Source organism: Homo sapiens, chromosome 18, assembly GCF_000001405.40.
Source record: "Homo sapiens chromosome 18, GRCh38.p14 Primary Assembly".
NCBI lineage: Eukaryota > Metazoa > Chordata > Mammalia > Primates > Hominidae > Homo > Homo sapiens.
Window position 1 is genome coordinate 12464312 of NC_000018.10, and position 22847 is coordinate 12487158.

The window sequence follows — 22847 nt, forward strand, 5'->3', positions numbered from 1 at the left end:
CTACTTAAAGAATTTTTGTGTATGAGAAATCAAGCCAATATATAATTTTTAATACTTCATAATGTTCTTATAAATGAAAAGGATTATTAAAAGCCTTTAGAAATCCCTTAACTTTAGATATCTGTGTTCAGAATCTATCTCCTAAAGAGTTATAAAGGTGTTTTCACTATCTACACAGGTTTTTGGAGATGGGTGTGTGTGGGTGGTAGGTGGAATGATAATAAATATGGTTGTGTTGGGCTTCTGGTTTAAATTTAGCCAAGGAGGTAATCTATCTAAAACAAAACAAAACAGAACGCTACACACACAACTGATTTATAATATTTCCCATGACTATTGTTCGTAAACACACATGTGCCTGCTCTGTCATAAGACCCCGAGGCCTGGTATGATGCCACTCTTGGAAAATAAGTATTTCATCTCCCGATCAGTGAAATGCCTGAGTTAGTTCTTTCTACCCTAGATGATCACAGGGCGCTCTGGGATCTCTGCTCTAGGTCAAGTGTGTTTTGTAGTAAGACATCCGACTACAGCTCTTAGCACCACAACTACTCACTCTTCCTTGTGGACACGGCCTCCAGGACTGGCTCTTCAGGGAAAGAGGGAGACACGCTGCTGCTGCTGGTCGACTTGTGCAGCGTTTCTTCCTGAGCAAAGTACAGGTGGAGAAATCGACTTCTTAGACATTTGTGCTCTAGTGCTACGTAATAACATTTTATTATTAAACAGTTATTTTAACATGAGGCACCAAAGTATGTCAAAGGTTCAAGGCAAGCAAAAGACAAACTAGAAGGGGTTTCAAACAAGACAGGTCTGGGTTTGTGCCTTGGCTCTGCCCTGATGAGAGTGATGTGAAACTGAGCATGCTTCTTTCTGTTTTTTGGAGACAGGGTCTCACTCTGTTGCTCTGGTAGCAGTGCAGTGGTGTGATCTGGGCCCACTGCAGCGTCTACCTTCTGGGCCCAAGTGATCCTCCCACCTCAGACTCCAGTAGCCAGGATCACAGGTGTGCACTTCCACACCCAGCTAATTTTTAAATTTTTTGTAGAGACAGGGTCTTCCTATGTTGCCTAGCTGGCCTTGAGCTCAAGCGATCCTCCCAAAGTGCTGGGGTAACAGGTGTGAGCCGCTGCACCTGGCCTGAGCATGTTTCTTATCTTAGTTTCATCATTGTGAAAGAGGGTATTTAATATCACTTTTTCCATAGGGTTATTGGAAAGATGAAATGAGGTAATGCATTCAAAATGCTTAACACATTACCTGGCACACAATAAAACAGTGGTTAATATTATTAGGGAAATATTTAATACATTTATACAAGTAATACATTGTCAGCCTCATGGGAGCAGATGCTGGGTCTGTCTTGCTCACTGATGTATGTCCAGTACCAAACCCATCACTTAGTAAGTAATGAGTGTTTGTTGAATGAATGGATGAAAAAATAAACATTTCATGAAATGTCATATGAGTCTAGAAAAATGTCTACATTGTGGGCCAGGTACGGTGGCTCGCACCTATAATCCCAGCACTTTGGGAGGCCAAGACGGGCAGATCACGAGGTCAGGAGTTTGAGATCAGCCTGGCCAGCATGGTGAAACCTCACCTCTACTAAAAATATAAAAATGAGCCAGGCGTGGTGGCACGCGCCTGTAGTCCCAGCTACTTGGGAGGCAGAGGCAGGAGAATTGCTTGACCCGGGGAGGCAGCGGTTGTAGTGAGCTGAGATCGCATCACTGCACTCCAGCCTGGGTGACAGAGTGATACTCCGTCTCAGAAAAAAAAAAGAAAAAGAAAAAGAAAAATGTCTACATCGTGCCAAATAAAATTAAAATTCTTATTACCAGTGAGAAGAGATCCTAACTTGTTTTAGACTAAACAAAAATAAAGTATAATATTTATTCCTGAAATATTTACTAAATACTATGCGAGATAAACATTTACTTGTAATTTCTACTTAGTATCTATAGATATATATATATTTTTGAGACGGAGTCTCACTCTGTTGCCCAGGCTGGAGTGCAGTGGCATGATCTCAGCTCACTGCGACCTCCGCCTCCCGGGCTCAAGCAATTCTCCTGCCTCAGCCTCCTGAGTAACTGGGATTACAGGTGAGTGCCACCACGCCCGGCTAATTTTTGTATTTTTTTGTGTGTAGAGATGGCGTTTCACCATGTTGGTCAGGCTGGTTTTGAACTCCTGAGCTCATGATCTGCCTGCCTCAGCCTCCCAAAGTGCTGGGATTACAGGCATGAGACACCACGTCCAGCCTATAGGCATTTTTAGATACAAAAGGAAGAAAATTAGGCAAATATATTCACTCATGACTATGTGAGATAGTGAAAATTTTTTGATGTTCTTAGCTAAAATGACTTAAATTTTTTTAATTTAAAAAATTTTTGTTTTATTTTTACTTTAAGTTCTGGGATACATGTGCAGGATGTGTGGGTTTGTTACATAGGTAAATGTGTGCCATGGTGGTTTGCTGTACCCATCAACCCATCACATAGGTATTAAGCCCAGCATAAAGTAACTTTTAAGAATTCGCTGTTCACCAAAAACTGGCCTCACCTAAAACCTACTGCTGAAATCATTAGTTTCAAGTAAGCTACAATACAAAGTGTCTGGTCAAAGAACAGGGCGGAAAAAAAGGCCACGTAAACGACATAGTTCAAACAAAAAAGGGCTAGGCTGGGCAAGGTGGCTCACGCCTGTAATCCCAGCACTTTGGGAGGCCAAGGCAGGCAGATAACTTGAGGTCAGGAGCTCAAGACCAGCCGGGCCAACATGGTGAAATCCTGTCTCTACTAAAAATATAAAAATTAGCTGGATGGTGGCAGGCGCCTGTAATCCCAGCTACTTGGGAGGCTGAGGCATGAGAATCACTTGAACCCGGGAGGTGGAGGTTGCAGTGAGCCAGGATCGTGCCACTGCACTCCAGCCTGGGCGACAGAGCAAGACTCTGTCTCAAAAAACAAAAACCAAAAAACCCAAAAAAGGTTTAAATAGTGACCTCCACACTTTTGGGACTTATCATGAACACCAAATCAAGCACTGTAAGCAAAGCCTCTATCCCAGATACGATGTAGGTCAGTCATAGTAATCTCCAAAAAACCTAGCATGCAATTAGAACAATCTTTTTCTGTTTACAGAAGGTCAGACAAGAAATAAAAGCAGAGAGTGTCTCTTAGAAAAGGAACAAAGGAGTCATATACAGTACTTCCCAGATAATTATCTGCTGAGGAGTCATACACAATACTTCCCAAATAATTATCTGCTACCCTGATTAAAACAGCAGAAACCATCCCTGTGCCTCACACGTGTACTTCAGCTCACCTTCGCTAGAAATATTTTTAAAGTCGGCTGGGCACAGTGGTTCACGCCTGTAATCCCAGCACTTTGGGAGGCTGAGGTGGGCGGATCACGAGGTCTGGAGCTGGAGACCAGCCTGACCAACATGGAGAAACTCTGTCTCTACTAAAAATACAAAATAAGCTGGGTGTGGTGGCATGTGCCAGTAATCCCAGCTACTCAGGAGGCTGAGGCATGAGAATCACTTGAACCCGGGAGGTGGAGGTTGCGGTGAGCTGAGATCATGCCACTGCACTCCAGCCTGGGCAAGAAGAGTGAAACTCCATCTCAAAAGGAAAAAAAAAAAGAAATATTTTTAAAGTCTAATTTTACACGTTGTTACCTTTGTTAGTGTTAAGGGAGAATTAGATCACGTTTCTTTACTCCAGGGTGGAAACCAGTTAGAGTTAAATTCTGTATAATGAAAATATCATACTTAATTCTGTAAGAAAACTATCTCTGAGAAAAAGTGGCTCTATAAATAAGCAAATAGGTCAGAATGAAGTCTTTTATAAGCAAATTAAAAAGATCAATGATTTTATGACCACAGATGTTAAAATTCTAAAGAAAACTGAAAACATGAGGAAGCACAATCATCTGTATCTGAAGAGGTGGAGCCGGAGCACACTACTGCAGCCCAGCACTGGCCACACTTCCACTCAGCTCAAAGAATGGCAACATCTAGCTGTACATGCGATGTGGTCCTCTCATGTTTCCTTTATATTTCATGTCCCTTTTAGGTACATGTTGAGCTCCAAAACATGGAGAGCAGTGGAGGGAAGCTTTGCTGGAAGGGGCTCTTTTCTCTCATTCAGACTTTATTCTCAGTGACGTCCTATGAAACCTCCAAATTGGATTTTTCCACCACTGCATCTGATCTTTAAAATGACTACTCAATGTCTGATGGTCCTGAAAATCCTTTGAAGAAGCAAAGCAACTTAATCGAGAGGCTTCACTATGCCCAAATGAGCCAGTTCCACTCTAATCAGTCAGAAGAACCTGGGTGCATAACTCAGCATTTCTCAGAATCTTTTTTATCTAGAAAATGTGGTTGGGTGGAATACTCTTTATAGTCCTCTCCAGTTCAAAAATGTAAATCAAAACTAAGTGTCTTTCCTGCCAGGCATGGTAGCTCGCCCCTGCATTCCCAGCACTTTGGTAGGCTGAGGCCAGAGGATCGCTTAAGCCAGGGAGTTTGAGACTAGCCTAAGGAACATGGTGAGAGTTTGTCTCTACAAAAAATAATAAGAAAATAATAGCCAGGTGTGGTGGTGCACACCTATGGTCCTAGCTACTTGGGAGGCTGAGGCAGGAGAATCCCCTGAGACCAAGAGGTCGAGGCTGCAATGAGCTGTGTTCACACCACTGCCCTGTAGCCTGAGTGACAGAGCGAAACCCTGTCTCGAAAATAAAAGTCTAAGAAAGTCTTTCCTGAATCTCCGTTTTAAAGTAACACTAAAAATTTGCAGATATGGTTCTAGGGGAATTAACATTTCAGTTTAGGTGAATTTAAAGGTAACATTTTGATTTTTAAAATCTTTTTATTTATTATTATTATTTTGAAACTGAGTCTTGCTCATTCACCCAGGCTGGAGTGCAGTGGTGTGATCTCAGATCACTGCAATTTCCGCCTCTTGGGTTCAAGCGATTCTCCTGCCTCAGCCTCCCTAGTAGCTGGGATTATTGGCAAGTGCCACCATGCCTGGCTAATTTATATATATATTTTTAGTTTTGCCATGTTGGCCAGCCTGGTCTCAAACTCCTGACCTCAAGTGATCCTCCCGCCTTGGCCTCCCAAAGTGCTGGGTTTACAGATGTAAGCCACTACGCCCAGCCACATTCTGATTTTTTAAAATCCTAATAATGCTGAATGCTTTTATTTCATGCTTACTCTTTATATATATAAATTATATATATTATATATAGTATATATTATTTATATATTTATTTATATTTATATAAATGTAATTATTTATATTTATATAAATATATTATTTACATATAATTTATATATTATATATAACATATATAATTTGTATAATTTATATAAATATATTTATATAAATATAATTATATATTATATATAATATAATTATATATATACACATATACACTTTACGAGGTCTCATGAGACTCTTATAGATGCAACTGAGGCAAAAGTAAGCACATTTGGAGTACTAGATTTTGGCACTCAGAGGGTGCATTCTCTATTTAAAAAGCATATACTCAAGATTTAAAAATAACATAAGAAAACCACATAACATATTAATTTTTATGTTCATTAATTAACTAGTTAATTAGAGACAAGTTCTCACTCTGTTGCCCAGGCTGGAGTGCAGTGGTGCAATCATGGCTCACTGCAGCCTTGACCTCCAGGGCTCAAGTGATCTTCCCATCTCAACCTTCCAAGTAGCTGGGACTACAGACATGTGCCACCATGCCCAGCTAACTTTTAAAAAACATTTGTTGTAGAGACGGGGTCTCACTATGTTGCCCAGGCTGGTCTCGAACTCCTTAGCCTCAAGTGATCCTCCCACCTTGGCCTCCAAAAGTACTAGGATTACAGGCATAATCTTATACTGGCCACCATGTGTGGCCAGTATATTAATTTTTTAAAAATGCTTTTCCAAGAAGGAAATAACTAAGGTTTGACATTAGCATCTGATGTACCTTGATTACCCAATGCACATACAATATACTGAAATGTTACAGATATAAAGAATTGTTTTAAATTTTACGTTGCTCCCCCAGAAGTGTTAATGGCCCACTGTCCCTGAATACCCACAACAGGCAGCTGCACACAATTTTCTGATTGCTTAAAATGAATCTTCTCCAGGATTAGTTCTTGCCCCAGAGGAATCACACTAACCTCTGCTAGCATATCTTGGGTAACTTAGACACTCAGAAGGAGAGCCAGGGAACTGTTAACAGTCAGGTCTCCTGAGAGAAGGGTGTGTGAGTACACACGTGTGTGCATATGTGTGGGTACATGCATGTGCATGTACAGACTCCTGTTTGCTGCATACCCTCTCGTGTCTATTCCAACTGCCTAATCACTTTTTGCTTATCTGGGGAATTCTGATGGGTCTCTGACATTTCTAGAACATCAGTCTCTTCTACTGCCTGGCCTGCTTCCCGAAATCTGCTTGTGTTTTTTGTCTGATCTCAGAGGCTGGCTGATCCTCACTGAGTTAGGGCTTCTCTAGCTCAGAACCATGGCTGCAGGAAAGCCTCTCGCACTGCTGCTTTGCTCCAGGGCTCACTGGTGCCGAATACTGCCAGAGTATAGTTTCAGGGGCCAGTCTGGGCACGTAACTCACTTAACAGGAATGGAAATCTTCCTCCTCCTGAAAAGAGGATCAAGCAGGGCTCAGACACAGCTCCTTTGCTTAGCTTTCCTACTGGAAGCTTTGATATGGCTACAATCAAAACTCATCTTTCAGTAAAAAAAAAAAAAAAAAAAAGTTACCAAGATAGGCTAGCAAAGGTTATTAAAGATAACAAGAGACACTGAAGTTAGGTTTCCAGGAACTGAAGAAAAGAGTAATGGAAAGAAGGTCTGGGTGTGGGGGTCTAATTTTATAGGGGATCTGTGACTAAAACACTGTATGGCTTTTCTAACTCAGTTTCTACCTGGCTAGGGGCTCAGTTTTCTCACTGAAAAGTAATGATGCTGGACAAAATTTCTAAGGCCCCTTCCAGTTAAAAAAATACTGGTTTCTTTCTTTTTTTTTTTTTTTTGGACACTAGAGTCTTGCTCTTCAAGAGATTCTCATGTCTCAGCCTCCCAAATAGCTGGGATTACAACCATGCACCACCATGCCTAGCTAATTTTTGTATTTTTAGTACAGATGGGGTTTCACTATGTTGGCCAGGCTGGTCTTGAACTTCTGGCCTTAAGTGATCCGTCCGCCTCAGCCTCCCAGTGCTGGGATTACAGGCGTGAGCCACCATGCCCAGCCTTTGTTCTTTTCTTTAATTCAGGCATTCTCATGTACCGTGAGAATACTAGCAAGTTCATGAGATACATGGACTTCAGAGTTAGACAGACTTGGGTTTCAAATCTAACTTTATCATTTACTAACTCTTTGAACCTAGGCAACCATTTCATGTGCCTGTTTTGTTATCTTCTTCTTCTTTTTTTGGAGAGAGTCTTGCTCTGTCACCCCTGTTGGAGTGCAATGACACAATCTCGGCTCACTGCAACCTCCGCCTCTGGAGTTCAAGTGATTCCCATGCCTCAGCCTCCCGAGTAGCTGGGATTACAGGTGTGCACCACCACACCGGGCTAATTTTTCTCTTTTTAGTAGAGATGGGGTTTTGCCATGTTGGCCAGGCTAGTCTTCAACTCCTGACCTCAAGTGATCTGCCCACCTTGGCCTCCCAAAGTGCTGGGATTATAGGTGTGAGCCATTGCGCATGGCCAGTTTTCTTATATTTTATACAAGGATCATAGCTGCTATCTATGGTCTTTGTGAAGACAAACTGATTTATATCTAAAGTCTAACAGAGGCTGGGCATGGTGGCTCATGCCTGTAATCCTAGCACTTTGCGAGGCCGAGGCAAGAGGAATGCTTGAGACTGGGAGTTCAAGACCCCTGTCTCTATAAAAAAATAAAAACAAACAACTAAAAACCCCAGCAACAATGAAAGTCTAACACAGGGTTAGCTCAATACAAAACCATTATAGCGACACCATGCCCTGTGCTTTTTTTTTTTTTTTTTTGAGACAGGGTCTCACTCTACCACCCAGGCTGGAGTGTAGTGGTACAATCACAGCTCACTGCAGCCTTGACCTCCTGGGCTTAGGTGATCCTCCCACCTCAGCCTCCCAAGTAGCTGCGATTACAGGGATATGCCACCATGCCAGACTAAGTTCTTGTATTTTTAGTAAAAGTGGGGTTTTGCCATGTTGCCCAGGCTGGTCTTGAACTCCTGGGCTCAAGTGATCCGCCTGCCTCAGCCTCTCAAAGTGCTGGGATTACAGGTGTGAGTCACTGTGGTTGGTCTTTTTTTTGCGGGGGGGGACTTGCTCTGTCACCCAGGCTGGAGTGCAGTGGCAATGATTATAGCTCACCACAGCCTTTAACTCCTGGGCTCAAGTGATCCTCCTGCCTCAGCCTTCCAGTAGCTAGGACTACAGGTGTGCACCAAATGAAGTCTCACTCTGTCGCCCAGGCTGGAGTGCAGTGGCGTGATCTTGGCTCACTGCAACCTCCACCTCCTGGGTTCAAGCAATTCTCCTGCCTCAGTCTCCCAAGTAGCTGGGATTACAGGCATGCATCACAAAGCCTGGCTATTTTTTTTGTATTTTTAGTAGAGATGGGGTTTTGCCATGTTGGCCAGGCTGGTCTTAAACTTCTGAACTCAAGTGATCCACTCACCTTGGCCTCCCAAAGTACTGGGATTACAGGCGTGAGCCACCACACCCAGCCAAATTTTTGTAGAGATGGGGGTCTTGCTATGTTGCTCAGGCTGGCCTCAAACTCCTGATCTCGAGCTATCTGACTGGCCTGGCCTCCCAGAGTGCTGGGATTATAGCTGTGAGCCACCCACCTGGCTCATTATAGCTTTCTTTAAGGCACTTAGCAGTATGTATCAAAAGCTACACAAATGTGCATTCTTTCACCCAGAAAATTCAGTTCTGGCAAAAAAAAAAAATTGAGAAAGAAACAAAAGCAAAAATATAACAATGTTCACATAGTGTTGCTCTTAATAATGGTAGAAAACTGGAAAATGAAAGCAAAAACATAATGTTCACAATAGTGTTGCTCTTTATAATGGTAGAAAACTGGAAACAGCCTAAATCTTAAAAAATAGAGGACTGAGTAAATAAAATACAGTAGGTTATTACTGTGGAATACCACACAGCTATCAGGCATCATGTTGGAAAAGGACATTTAATCAAATGGAAATTGCTCATATTTTGTTAATTAAAAAGCAAGTCAGTGTCTTTGTTCTTAAAAGAATTAAGGAGTTTTTTCTTTTTATATAAAACAGTTGAGTTTGTAATTGATAATGTAAATAATTAACATCATTCTAATTTCATGAGTATTTGATCTACAATAATATATTAACTGATTACAAAGAAATTCAGAACTAAATAAGGGTTATTTAAGCAGTAAACTGTTCTGTGTGATAATTTGGACCCACATTTAAGTTAACCCCCAAACACAGCAATGTGTGGTAAGAAGTTTCTGGTGGATGTCATCAAATGAAAACTCTGCAGGGGAGCACAGCTGATATTGTGGAATGGTGGAAGGTATCTCTTAAAAGAATATAGAGTTTCTATGGAAAAGGAGATTAAATAAGATCACGTATATATACAGAGTTTACCATACAGTAGGTATTATGGTGGCTAGAAAGCATTTATTAAAATGTAAAACAAACAAACCAAAAAAACCCCACAAAAACCAAAAACATTGCTAGAATGAGTCCTGATAAGTTAACAGGTGAAATTTACATACACGTGACAGCATTTCCTATATCAAGAGTGAATAAAGTGTTCAGTTTACAGTTGGAAGTGTCACTGCTTCCTCTTCAAGGGGAAATTCTGGTGTCTCCTTCAATTGTTCTGTGGGCTTCATTACAGAGAGTGGACAAAGAGGCTCATGCAAGGGGCAGCAGAGGCAGGTGGACTCCACTGGTGAGTTCAGTGCCAGCTGAGTACTGACTCAGCAGTGGGCCACTCCCTCTTGGAATGGAAAAGAAATTTCACATTGCTCTATGAGGCCTTCAGGAGGCCCTGAAGGATGGGAAGGGTGGGTGGTGGTGGGTGGGGAAGGCTCTAGTCCCCATCTCCATTTCCAGCTGATTGACACTGTACTTCTGTGTAAGTCTGGTGTCAAGAAAAAGTTTTGGCACTTAAAAACATGTTTGGGCCCAGGTGTGGTGGCTCATGCTTGTAATCCCAGCACTTTGGGAGGCCGAGGTGGGCAGATAACCTGAGGTCAGAAGTTCGAGACCAGTCTGGCCAACATGGTGAAACCCTATCTCTACTAATATTACAAAAACTAGCTGAGTGTGGTGGTGGGCACCTGTAATCCCAGCTACTCGGGAGGCTGAAGCAGAATTGCTTGAACCCGGGAGTCGGAGGATGCAGTGAGCTGAGGTCGCTCCACTGTGTTCCAGCCTTGGCAATGTAGTGAGGCTCCATCTCAAAAAACCCCCCCAAAAAACCATGTTTGGAAGCCAGCCATTAAATTTGAGGAGGAGAGGGAAAATGGGGAAGTAGGTGATACAACTGAGAAGCAGGAAGAAAAAGAATAAAGTCAACCTTTTTGAGACTGCCCTTTATTTGTTCTCTACTGTCTTCTACAGCCCTGAGTCTTCACTTGGTCTTTGCTCATGGTGCAACGTCAGCCAGGAATTCACTAGACAAGTCAGCAGAGTCACTAGATGCCAGACATGCAGTAAGGAGCAGAGGTTTGAGTAAGACTGCATTTCTGCTATTGGGAAGGCACGGGAGAAATACATCAACATGCTGTGGCACAGCCCGGCTCACATCTCATAACAAAATGGAAAGCCCTCTGCTGTCTTTTATACTCATTCTAAAACCTAAATCCTACTACTCTTCCACGTGGCTTCTCCAGCCTTTTCAGTCCCTGTGGTGTTTACTGACTCACTGAACTGACCTCTGCCGTCTCTGGACTTCTGTAGTGTCCAGTCACATTCTACATACCCTAAGACACTGTGCTCACTAAGCACTTGGAATGATTCTTAGGTATGTTTTTTATATTCTATTTAAATTATAAACAACAGAAGGGCAGAGACCATCATATTTCTGTCTGTACCTGCAGTACTTACTGAAGGCATTCAATAAATATTTGAATGGAAAAAATGGAGTGGTACTGGAAAAAAAAAAGAAGTTGGTGAAAAGAATAGGAGAAGAGTTTAAAAATGCACTAAAAAGTAGGGAACAAAAAATTACTATAAAATGTGAACGAAAAAAAACCCTGTAATGTGACATGGGATGTATTTAACAGTCTCTGTATTTGTGGCCATTTGTAAGACAGCAAATATGACCAGAGGTAAGTCAATCTTGGTTTAGGAATAGATAGAATTCCTCAACATCTTTTCCAGTTTCATGCTTCTGGAGCAAAACTACCACGTTTTGGAACTGGAAGAGACCTAGAAATCACAGAATCAGCTCCTCTCATCAAAGGGAGAATACGCTGATGGCCAGCAAGATCAAGTGTCCATTCCAGCACCCAGTCCGTACACCCTGAGCGGGCCTAGGGCAGGTGCCACATGGAGAATTGTCTTTACTAATTCACACTGTAAGGAAACACAGTTTGAGTTTCCAGGTGTTCATTCATGTCTATATAAATGTCAGTTCATTAAATGGCTTTACAACAGACCTTCTTCTGAGCTGGCTTTAACCAGTTGATGATCTGAAATTAGCTAATGTTAATAGTGTTTTAGAATAAACACAATTCATCTACCACTATTAAAGAGAACTACTGTCTCATCAATAGAAAGTTTATTAAAACTTTGATTAATACAAACACAAAACTTGAAACAGTTGATTAAAAATAAAGACTTTGGTTTATCTGTGTTTTCTAAATGTTAACATATGAATACATTTAGAAGTTTTCAGCTGGGCGTGGTGGCTCACGCCTGTAATCCCAGCTCTTTGGGAGGCTGAGGCAGGTGGATCACTTGAGGTCAGGAGTTTGAGACCAGCCTGGCCAACATGGTGAAACCCCATCTCTAATAAAAATATAAAAAAATTAGCTGAGCATGGTGGCAGGCACCTGTAATCCCAGTTACTCGGGAGGCTGAGACAGGAGAATCGCTTGAACCTGGGAGGTCGAGTTTGCAGTGAGCAGAGATTGGGCCATTGTGCTACAGCCTGGCTGGCAGAGCGAGACTCTGTCTCCAAAAAAAAAAAAAAAAAAAAAAAATATATATATATATATATATATATACACACACACACACACACACATATATACACACACATATATATACACATATATATAAAAGAATTTCAAATATATATAAAAGAATTTCAAAACTTCTAAATATATATATTAAAAAGGAATTATGTATATATTTAAAAAGGAACATAAGGCATTCCCACATTTAATACCTTTGCTCTTCCCTTATACTTAAAAACATCAATTTTAGATTGAAGAGGAAGAGAGGAATACGCTTATTTCCATACCCTTGTCTAAGATCATTCACTCTGTTCCATAAATCTTTGAGATTTCTACCACCACTGACTTAAGAACTATGATTCATCCGGGTTTAAACCAGTAGCTAGTGACAAAAGTCAGAGGTAGCTGGAATCCAGATCTCACATTTCTCTTTTCGGCAATTTATTGCTTGCTTCATGTTCTAACTGATGAAAATGGCCTCTCTTTGATTAAGAAGAGTGTGCCTAGCAAATCATCTCAAGATTTGGATTTGGGGCATTACCACTTTATCTTCAAAAAGAGGACCACAAAGAAGGTTACAGAGGCTGCAAATTTATCTGATCATGCCTTGCTGTGTAGTGTTGCCTCATGAGGTGATGAAAGAGGACTAGAAAAGGAGTTAAAAGTAGGCCTGTGGGGGTGCAGGAAGGTAGTTCCTGGCAGCTGCAGATTGGTGCCACCCAACCAAACTCTGTGAAGGGACTGTGATCTGTGTAGCCGTGGTCACAGAGGTTCCTGGGCCCTTGAGTGCCATGACTGAGAAACTGAGTTCTTCATTTATTTAATTTTAATATAACTTAAATTTAAATAGCCACATGTGGGAGTGGCTACCGAATTGGAGCTCTGTCTAGATATCTGAGCTAGATGCTTTTAAAATGTAAATCACTGTTCTTATAGGTTAGTATGAATTTATCTAAATATTTGAGTGTCTACTGAGTGTTAGAAACTGGTGATATAAAGTAAATTCAGCATGGTTCCTCCTCTCAGGGAACATGTACTCTGGTGGGACAGAGAAATAAGTGAATAATTACATGACAGGGTGTTAAAGTGTTCCAGTGAAACAGAGGGATGAGTGGGTTATGATAGAATCACAGAGAAGGGGTCCTGGCAGGCTAGTGGTATCCAGGAGACTTCCTAAGACAAAGCGAGGCCACGCTGACTCTGACAAGGACGTGAGGGGCAGACCGCAGACACAGCTAAGCACCAAGCTGAGCACCGATGGGCTGTGCAGGAAGAGTGAACGGCTGTGCGTGGCTGAGGCATAAACCAGAGACAGGGAAGGTGTGACATTAGACCAGAGGTGTCTGCAGGCGTGTGATCAGGGGATGCAAATTTTATTCTGTAAGTGCCAGGGAGCCTTCCGAAGGTTTTAAGCAGGAGTTACAAAGAGCGGTGAGTGCAAGACGGAATTTGGGGAGCCAAGAAGAAAGTCAGATAGACTGAAGAGACGGTGAGAAAGAGAGACCAACTGACGTTAGTAATATGAATATTTCTTATTGTTATTAGTGTTTGAAAAACCTTTAGTAGCAAAATTATTATTGGTATTGCTTGGAATGGAGTGGAGACCGATGAGAGGAGAATTAAAGAATAATTCCTCAGATTCTACCTTGGATGGAGCCAGCAACTAGGATAGCAAGCAGAAGATGAGAAGCTAGGGGGTATGTGTGCATGCACGCAGGTGTGTGTATGTGCATGTGTGTAGCTAGGGTGTGAAGCTGGGGTGTGTATGTGTGTGTAGCTAGGGTGTGTGTGTGCACGCATGCATGTGTAGCTAGGGGAGGTGTGTATGAAGCTAGAGTGTGTGTGTGCGCATGTGCGCGTGTAGCTAGGGTGTGTGTGTGAAGCGAGGGTGTGTATGTGTGTGTGTAGCTAGGGTGTGTGTGTGCACGCACACATGTGTAGCTAGGGGAGGTGTGTATGAAGCTAGAGTGTGTGTGTGTGCATGTGTGTGTGTAGCTAGGGTGTGTGTGTGAAGCTAGGGTGTGTGTGTGAAGCTAGGGTGTGTATGTATGTGTGTGTGTAGCTAGGGTGTGTGTGTGCGCGCGCATGCGTATGTAGCTAGGGTAGGTGTGTGTGTTTGATTTGGCAAGTGGGTGAGGGAGAAGGGAGGGAAGAAGAGAATTTCATTTTACCTAAGTTGATTTTGAGGAAGGGCAGTGGAGACCCAGCAGGCAATGACGTATACAATACTGACATCGCAGATGGGGGCTTGAGATGGATGTGGGAAGCATTAGCATATAGGTGGATGTTGACATCAGGAAGGATATGAGATCTTCCCTCTCCACAAGGGGCAGTAGGTGGATGATGAAATCTGGAGAATACTATTAGAATTTTCTTTTTTGGAGTTTTGTCTGTTGGTATTACTATTACAAAAAGAACAATCCTAAGTATGAGTGTGTGTATATGTGTGTGTGTATTTTAGAAGAATCTATGCAAAATGTTTTTCTTAACTTTATTTTTTTGTTCCCCAAACGAGAAGATATTAAGGTAATATAAGCTGGAAAACTTGCTGACTTGTTTTAACCCCACATATAATTTAAGACTACATATATGTGTGTGTGTGTGTATACATATATGTATTTTTTTTTTCTTTTTCTTTTTTTTTTTTTTTTGAGACAGAGTCTCACTCTGTTGCCCAGGCTGGAATGCAGTGGCACAGTCACAGCTCACTGCAGACTTGAACTCCTGGGCTCAAGGAATCCTCCTGCCTTAGCCTCCCAACTAGCTGGGACCAGAGGTATGCACTACTGCATGTGGCTAACTTTTTAATTTTTTGTAGAGACAGGGTCTTGCTATGTTGCCCAGGCTGGTCTCAAACTCATGGGCTCAGCGATACTCCTGCCTTGGCCTACCAAAGTGCTGGGATTATAGACGTGAGCTAACATGCCCGACAAAAATTTTAGTGTTCTATAATTATAGCCACTATATTGGTCTTTACTAATAGAAAGTAATCTATTATTTAATTTCCTGCAAACCAAATTAATTTTAATCCTAGCTTTACTGGTTGAAAAATGGGAAGAGATTAAGCAACAACTGAAGCAAGATAATCAGTAAACTGCATCAGACAGCATTAAGCACCCTCATCTTGGGAGTCAAGCTGGGTGAACTGGGGCCTCACCTCAGACTCAGAGCTGTCCAGTTCGGCCAGAGTTGGGGCTCTGAGGAGCTTCTTCCGCTGTGCAGGCACCTGCTGTGAGGTACTTAACCCGTTTTCTTTTGTTTGTGATGTCAAACCTCCATTCACCATAGATGACTCCACAAGATTCTTTGTAGATTCAGGGGTAGTCACATCTGGTAAAAAAGCAAAAGCTTACCTTTTCTTGAGCCAAGAAAGGTTATCTGTGTTGGAAGCATACCAGGTAACAGAGCATTTCATACAAAAACACAGAGGCTTGATTCAGTAACACCTTGCCTATGTATAGAAAACTTCTTCTGGTTGGATATTAACTGTCAAATTCAATTAAAGGAAACTTTAAAATGAATAATTACATATTCATACTTGTAGATTAGAATTTAGACTTAAAAGGAATCCTACAGATAACTGACTCACAACTTGTTTATTTTCCAGATGAAGAAACTGGGGCTGAGAGAAGCTAGTTTACTTCACAGCCTCTAAGGATCCAGTGATGTATGGATGAAGAGAGGACACACACAAAGCCTTACCAGACACATGGCTGTAAGATCTGAAAAAGTTTTGGTTTGAAAATAAAAATGGCTAATAATCTATATTCATATAAACATATTTAATGTGAACACAAAAAGTCTGGGATACATTTCCTCTGATGAGTCTGATTTATATTATTAAGAGCTCAAATTTGGATGAGAAGGCAATACAACAAATGACAGACAATGAAGCAGTCTATAGTGTGGTGTGGGGGATGGTTTGGGTCTCTACTGCTATCTAATCTCCTTTCATCTGTAAAATGAGGATACTAACAGACGTGGGCTTGTTGTGAGCATTAAACAGGTTAATAATTGCATATAAAATTCTGTGCCTAGTACAGGCAGTGAACAATAAATGTTAGCAATTATTCATACTGATTTTGATCTCTATTGGTGAATAAATAAACTAAGGCTCAGATGGATTCGGCAAGTGGCACCATGGTGTCATGCCACAGCTGATCCATGAGTCTTTGTCAGTACTGACTCTGATGGCCTGCTTTTTGGTACCATAGCCTGGAATCCTCCAAGGCAAATGGAACTACTTTTCTTCAGTATTTCAAATGAAGAGTTAAAAATGGGCTAAATTTAGTAACTATAAAATCGGTACATTTATAAGTGAAAAAGAGCAGTTACCGCATGATGTAATTTATAGACCAGCACACTCGACTGCTCTTTGCATGCAGTCTGTGAGGCTGCCGTAGATGGGGCAAAGGGCATGCTAAGTACTAAAGTGAAAAAGACTGACTGATGCTCTTTTAGAGGGGAAAGCACTGTAACTGAGGTTACTATAAAAAACAAGAATGTGGCCCGGCATGGTGGCTCACGCCTGTAATCCCAGCACTTTGGGAGGCCGAGCCAGGAGGATCAATTGAGGTCAGGAGTTTGAGACCAGCCTGACCAACATGGTGAAACCCCGTCTCCACTAAAAATATAAAAATTAGCCAGGCGTGGTGGTGGACGCCTGTAATCCCAGCTACTCGAGAGGCTGAGGCAGGAGAATCAAAGTGAGACTGTGTCTCAAAAAAAAGAACAACCCCCGCCCCCCGCAAGAATGTGCTGTTTACAGTAGGATATTCCCCCCTAGCAAGTAATATTTACACACCTTAAGTACGAGAGGTAGAGCTCCAGGAAACACTTGGTATATAAGTGTGTTCTAGTGCAGCTTTCCCTGACATTATTTATAAAAACCATGTAAATTATTTCTTATTACAAATGATATATATCTTATTTAATATTTATAATTTCTACTTATTTTTGAAGGGTTTGAACAAGCTAGAAATAATGGAAGGAAAAGAAAAAGAAAAAAGGGAAAGAGAAGGGAGGAAGAAAGGAAAGAAGGAAGAACAGCTGTCCATTAATTATCTTTTTACATAAAATTTTTAATTGAGAACTTGACAACACATGCATTTCTTTTACTGTTACCTTCCCAGGCATTAAATAGCTAGAACAAATAAATAATTGGTGATGGTGGTGGGGAGCACTGAAAGGGACAAAAGGCAAAAAGCAGCAAGTTTTTATACAAATTATAAAGGTAAAAATCTTAAATCTTTCAATAAGGAGATAAGAGAAATAGAATTGTTGATATTTTGTAGGAATCTTCTAAAAGGAGATATAATGAGAAATAGAATTGTTGACATTTTGTGGGAATTTTCTAGGAGAAAGCACAAGTATTTCAAACGCACACACCTTCCACCTTTCCTAACCACGTTCTCACAGAGGCTCCCACCGCTGACCTGGCAGCAGGTCACTTTCTAATTACTATAATTGGAGTTATCATAATAAGAGAAACACAACCAGCTTCTCATGCTGGCCCCACATTTCCAATCGACAAAGCCAGAGTTTCCCTAAGAATAGCACTGTATGCATACCACTGCACAGAGGAACACTCAAATAGTTTTGGCAGTTATTTATTTTTTATTTGAGACAGTCTCGCTCTGTCTCTAGGCTGGAGTGCAGTGGCGCGATCTCAGCTCACTGTAACCTCTGCCTCCTGGGTTCAAGCGATTCTCCTGCCTCAGCCTCCAGAGTAGCCGGGACTACAGGCATGTGCCACCACGCCCAGCTAATTTTTTTGTATTTTTAGTAGAGTCGAGGTTTCGCCATGTTGGCCAGGATGGTCTGGATCTCCTGACCTTGTGATCCGCCTGCCTCAGCCTCCCAAAGTGCTGGGATTACAGGCATGAGACACCGCACCAGGCCCATATTTATTTTAATGTGCTGCAAAATAAATAAATAAATAAATACTTTTTGCTGCAGAAAAAAAATACTGTATTTTAAGATCCATGATTTTATTGCTTAAGAAATGTTTAAAGTTGTTTATGGCAGATTAAAAATTTTTAATAGTACCGGGGCACTTAAGGCTGGCAGAAATTCATAAAGATGGCATATGAACTGAATTTTAGGGAACACTGTCAAATGCCAGTGGCTGCCTTGAGTTCAGTTTATTCTCAATGCAGGGGATTTGAGAAATTGTCCAATAGCTCTGTAATTGCCTGAACCCTGTGCTATGAGATTGATAATTATTATTTTAGCTAATTGACTGAGACTACTGAAAGAAAACATCTGTACTAAATTCAAAGCTTTGAGAAAAACTGAATTAATAAAAAACGGGTTATGTAACAGCCAGGTTTCAAGATGATCTAAACACTTGAGTGATTTTATCTCATACCACAGACTGGCAAAAGACTTAATTGCACTTTTTTTTTTTTTTTTTTTGAGACAGGGTCTCATTCTGTTGCGCAGGTTGGGGTGCAGTGGCACAATTATGGCTCACTGCAGCCTTGACCTCTCGGGCTCAGGCGATCCTCCCACCTCAGCCTCCCAAGTAGCTGGGACTACAGGTGTGCACCACCACGCCTAGCTAATTTTTTGGTATTTTTTTGTGTGTGTGCGTAGGAGACAGGGTTTTGCCATGTTGCCCAGGCTGGTCTTATTTTAAACTCCTGGGCTTAAGCAAACTGCCCACCTTAGCCTCCCAAAGTGCTGGGATTATAGGCGTGAGCCACTGTGCCCGGAAAACATATTTTTAAGAAGTTTGATCACTTATAGTTTTCTGTTTGAATGAATAAATTATCATTTTTACTTTAATGTATCAAATGAGAAAAGCAAAACACTTGGATAGGCTTTGTATTTCTTGTACATAAGATGGCATTTCTTAAAAAAAAACTGGTGATATTTATATGTAAGCAAAATATTTAAGAGGTGAAATATTTAGATATGGCTTTAGAAATCACATACCTTAGGTTTAGAACCTAAAATGCATACCCATGATATTAAATATATGTGTCTGCTGCCTTATTTAGTGTGAGGAAATGTGACTGGCATATAAATTATATATTTAATACCTGTATAGGAAAAATAAGTTATACTTACCATAAGTGATGTTGAATAGGTTAAGATTTTCACTAAGAATTAATATTTCTAAGATATACTTAAGCAGCAGAATATTCATCATTATCTTGTACTTAAGTTCAGAGTTATCATCTACACTATATGTTTACAATGTTTCTCACTAGTTTGTTCATTTTCTAACTCAGAAAATGCACTCCAATCTTTGCATTTAAGTTAGAAGAATGAATCAATCTTTTCTATTTATAATTTGGGAAATTTTAATTAATAGTTAAAATGCAACAATGAAAAACATAAAAGCAGCACAAGAAATCAAGAATGAAGCATTAGAAAATCACGAAGTACATGAAGACATGAAATAAATTATAGCAAATGATAAGCAGTGAAACCAAATAAAAATTCTCTGCTACCCTTTTACACTAAGAAATTTAAGTACCAAGAGTTTTCTTTCCAAACAGAACCCATCGTATAGGCTGCAAGAACACAGAACACACAACATACCTATAGATGAGGTGTGTAAGCATGCATACTGTCAAGATCAGCAATGTGTACCTAATTTAGATTAGCCAATGGTCAATGTGTTTAGGCAGCCAACCACTCGCTTTCTTATTACGGTCCAACTAATGGAAGCATCTTTTGTAGATATTCAAAAAAGGTAGAGTATCTGTAATGTATATTGCCAACTTTTGGGGATTAGTAGTGACATATATATTACTATGTTCCTGTGTTTATTTTCCAGACCAAATTTTTTACAAGGTCACTTTGCAAATGGCTGAAAAAATAAAAATTCCAAATGAATAAAGAAAATAGAAAAAGCTCTTCAGTGGTCAGTCAAAAATAGTAAGTGAGTGATTGTAAAATATTACAGTCATGCCTGAGACCTACACAAATAAGCAAAAGATTTAAAAACAGTTGGAAACTAGCTTTGTAGCTGGAAGATACTCAATAAATATTCATATACAGAATATACTAGAACTCTTTAAATATGAATTTGTACGTAAGGTATGCCAACAATTCTTTGTTATCTTAAGAGGCATTCTATGGCATTTAAAAGAAAATCCCAAAAGAAAATATTTGTGCCAACATCTCATCTCATTTTATATTTAAAACAGTAGCTTCCAAAATTAAAAACTCTAACTTGCAAAATATTTTATTGGGATTAAGTTGGCTTTGAAAATTCACCTGGCTGGGTGAGGTGGCTTACGCCTGTATTCCTAGCACTTTGGGAGGCCAAGGTTGGTGAATTGCTTGAGCCCAGGAGTTTGAGAGCAGCCTGGGCAACATGGTGAAACCCTGTCTCTATTTCCTAAAATAAATAAATAAATAAATAAAAGAAAATTCACTCATATATATTTAAAGTTTTAATTTATAAAGGGTTGATTTTATAGCTCAAATTTAGTTATTTCACTATTAATCTCTGTTTAACAGAAGGGTCTAAACTTGTACTACAAATCTGAGGCACATAATTATATATTACAACCAAAGCCATTACAATGCTCTTGTATTTTTATACTCTTTTTTTTTTTTTTTTGAGACTGAGTCTCGCTCTGTTGCCCAGGCTGATGTTCAGTGGCGCGATCTCGGCTCACTGCAACCTCCGCCTCCTGGCTTCAAGCAATTCTCCTGCCTCAGCCTCCCAAGCAGCTGGGACTACAGGTGTGTGCCACCACGCCTGGCTAATTTTTTTGTATTTTTAGTAGAGACGGGGTTTCACCGTGTTAGCCAGGATGGTCTCCATCTCCTGACCTTAAGATCCGCCCACCTCAGCTTCCCAAAGTGCTGGGATTACAGGCGTGAGCCACCGCGCCCGGCCTGTATTTTTATACTCTTAATCAGCATTCAAAGTCATTCATGACTAGGCTCTATCCACTGAGCACAAAGATACAAAAGAGTTCTTGCCCATCAACTGAGGTGCTGTCATCTGAAGTAGATAACCATTTTAAGTTTAGTTACTTAAATAACTGAATGCTTTAGAGAACAGGAAGTAGATGTGTCAGAATTTTGTTTCTATGAAGTTTTTTTCTATTCTCTTAGGGCAAAGGTCTGCTGTAGGCTTTAACCTCATTGCTCTAGAAGAGCCTGGACAGTGACAGCCGCCATTAAGATGGGCACCATCTTCTAGAACCATGAGTGTGGTGTGATGGTTCTTCCAAAATTGCTTAGGAGAAAACAGATTTACTGTAGTCTTGTATCTTTTTTACATATATTGTTTTCAAACAAGCAGAATGTTTTATTTTACTGACCACGGCTTAGCAGAAGCCTTTCAATTTTCTTTTTTAACATGTTTGAACAAGCAGATGAATGAAATGTATTTCACAGAAACCACAAAACCCACGTCAGGTGTAAAAGTGTTTTTGTTTTTTTTACCTGACAAGTCAAAACTGTAAGACATGCTAAGTGGCCGCATTGCTGAAAAAAAGAAAACAAACAATAAAAAGAAAATAATTCAGCTGTTAGGAATATACAGAGAGGACAAAAAAGGGAACGGATTAATGAAGACCCTTAGTGGCTACATGTCAGACTCTAAGGCAGGCAGAAGCTAGTGAATGAAAATCTGAAATACATTAAAACCATGCAAGAGTCTTAGTTTCAGTTATATCACTAAGACTTCAAATGGAGGAACAATAAAAGGAAAAAGTAACTTTTTAGAAAACAAGTAAAAAATGAAAGCATGATAAAAATACAAACATTTTAAAGAATCACAGAATAAGATGTTTGACTTAAATATAGATTTTTAAAAAAGCCATGTTTTAAAACATGATTTTAGGGAACATACAACATCTTTAAAATTTCAGAGTAAATTTATCCTTCAATAATTTATGTCAGGATGAAAATTTGGCTCTCAGAATAAAGGTGAAACAGTTCATAAAAAATTCTCAGTTCAGCTAGTTCAGCAGCATCACCATTATGTGTTAATAAACTATCTATTGTAGGCCATATAACCTAGTAGTTGAAGGACAGGACAGATTGCCTGAGTTTGAACCTCAGCTCTGCCACTAACTGGGAGTGTGACCCCAGGCAAGTTACTTAACCTCTCTGTGCTTTAGTTACTTCATCTGTAAAATGGGAATAATCCTATCTTATGGAATTGTTATAAAGATTAAATAACTTCATGTAAAAAAGGTGCTTAGAATAGTGCTTGACACACAGTAAAAACTGAATATGGTGGTCCTTCCTTATCGTATTTTCACTTTCCATGGTTTTAGTTACTCATGATCCAAAAATATCAAATGAAAAATCCCAGAAATAAATAATTCATAAGATTTATTTATTTATTTTGAAATGGAGTCTCGCTCTGTTGCCAAGGCTGGAGGGCAGTGGTGTGATCTCAGCTCACCGCAACCTCCGCCTCCCGGGTTCAAGCAATTCTTGTGCCTCAGCCTCCTGAGTAGCTGGGATTACAGGTGCCCACCAGCATGCCTGGCTACCGTTTGTATTTTTAGTAGAGACGGGGTTTTGCCATATTGGCCAGGCTGGTCTCGAACTCCTGATCTCAGGTAATCTACATGCCTCGGCCTCCCAAAATGTTGGGATTACAGGCATAAGCCACCATGCCCGGCCAATTCA

The 22847-nt window shown here is 40.4% G+C and overlaps 1 protein-coding gene across 14 annotated transcripts in view, besides 1 other annotated feature; it reads right to left on the reverse strand.

Moving 5' to 3' along the window:
- SPIRE1 (spire type actin nucleation factor 1) overlaps positions 1-22847 on the reverse strand; it is a 215580-nt gene that overhangs the window by 17800 nt on the left and 174933 nt on the right. For 7 of the 14 annotated variants that reach the window (NM_001128626.2, XM_011525701.2, XM_024451224.2 and 4 more), the window contains 3 exons: positions 21648-21689; positions 15388-15560; positions 557-647 (listed from right to left, as the gene is read on the reverse strand). In NM_001128626.2, the coding sequence (NP_001122098.1) occupies positions 557-647; positions 15388-15560; positions 21648-21689 (306 nt within the window). Of the gene's footprint in view, positions 1-556; positions 648-10625; positions 10794-15387; positions 15561-21647; positions 21690-22847 lie in introns of those variants that run through there. The other 7 variants (NR_197429.1, NM_001394323.1, NM_020148.3 and 4 more) reach the window with 2 other exon arrangements.
- Positions 857-1015: a silencer, noted in NCBI's record as "fragment chr18:12465167-12465325 (GRCh37/hg19 assembly coordinates)". NCBI's record gives its function as "represses an EF-1alpha promoter that drives an FKBP-Casp9 reporter gene in an ReSE screen in HepG2 liver carcinoma cells {active_cell/tissue: HepG2}" and the evidence as "EXISTENCE:reporter gene assay evidence [ECO:0000049][PMID:32094911]".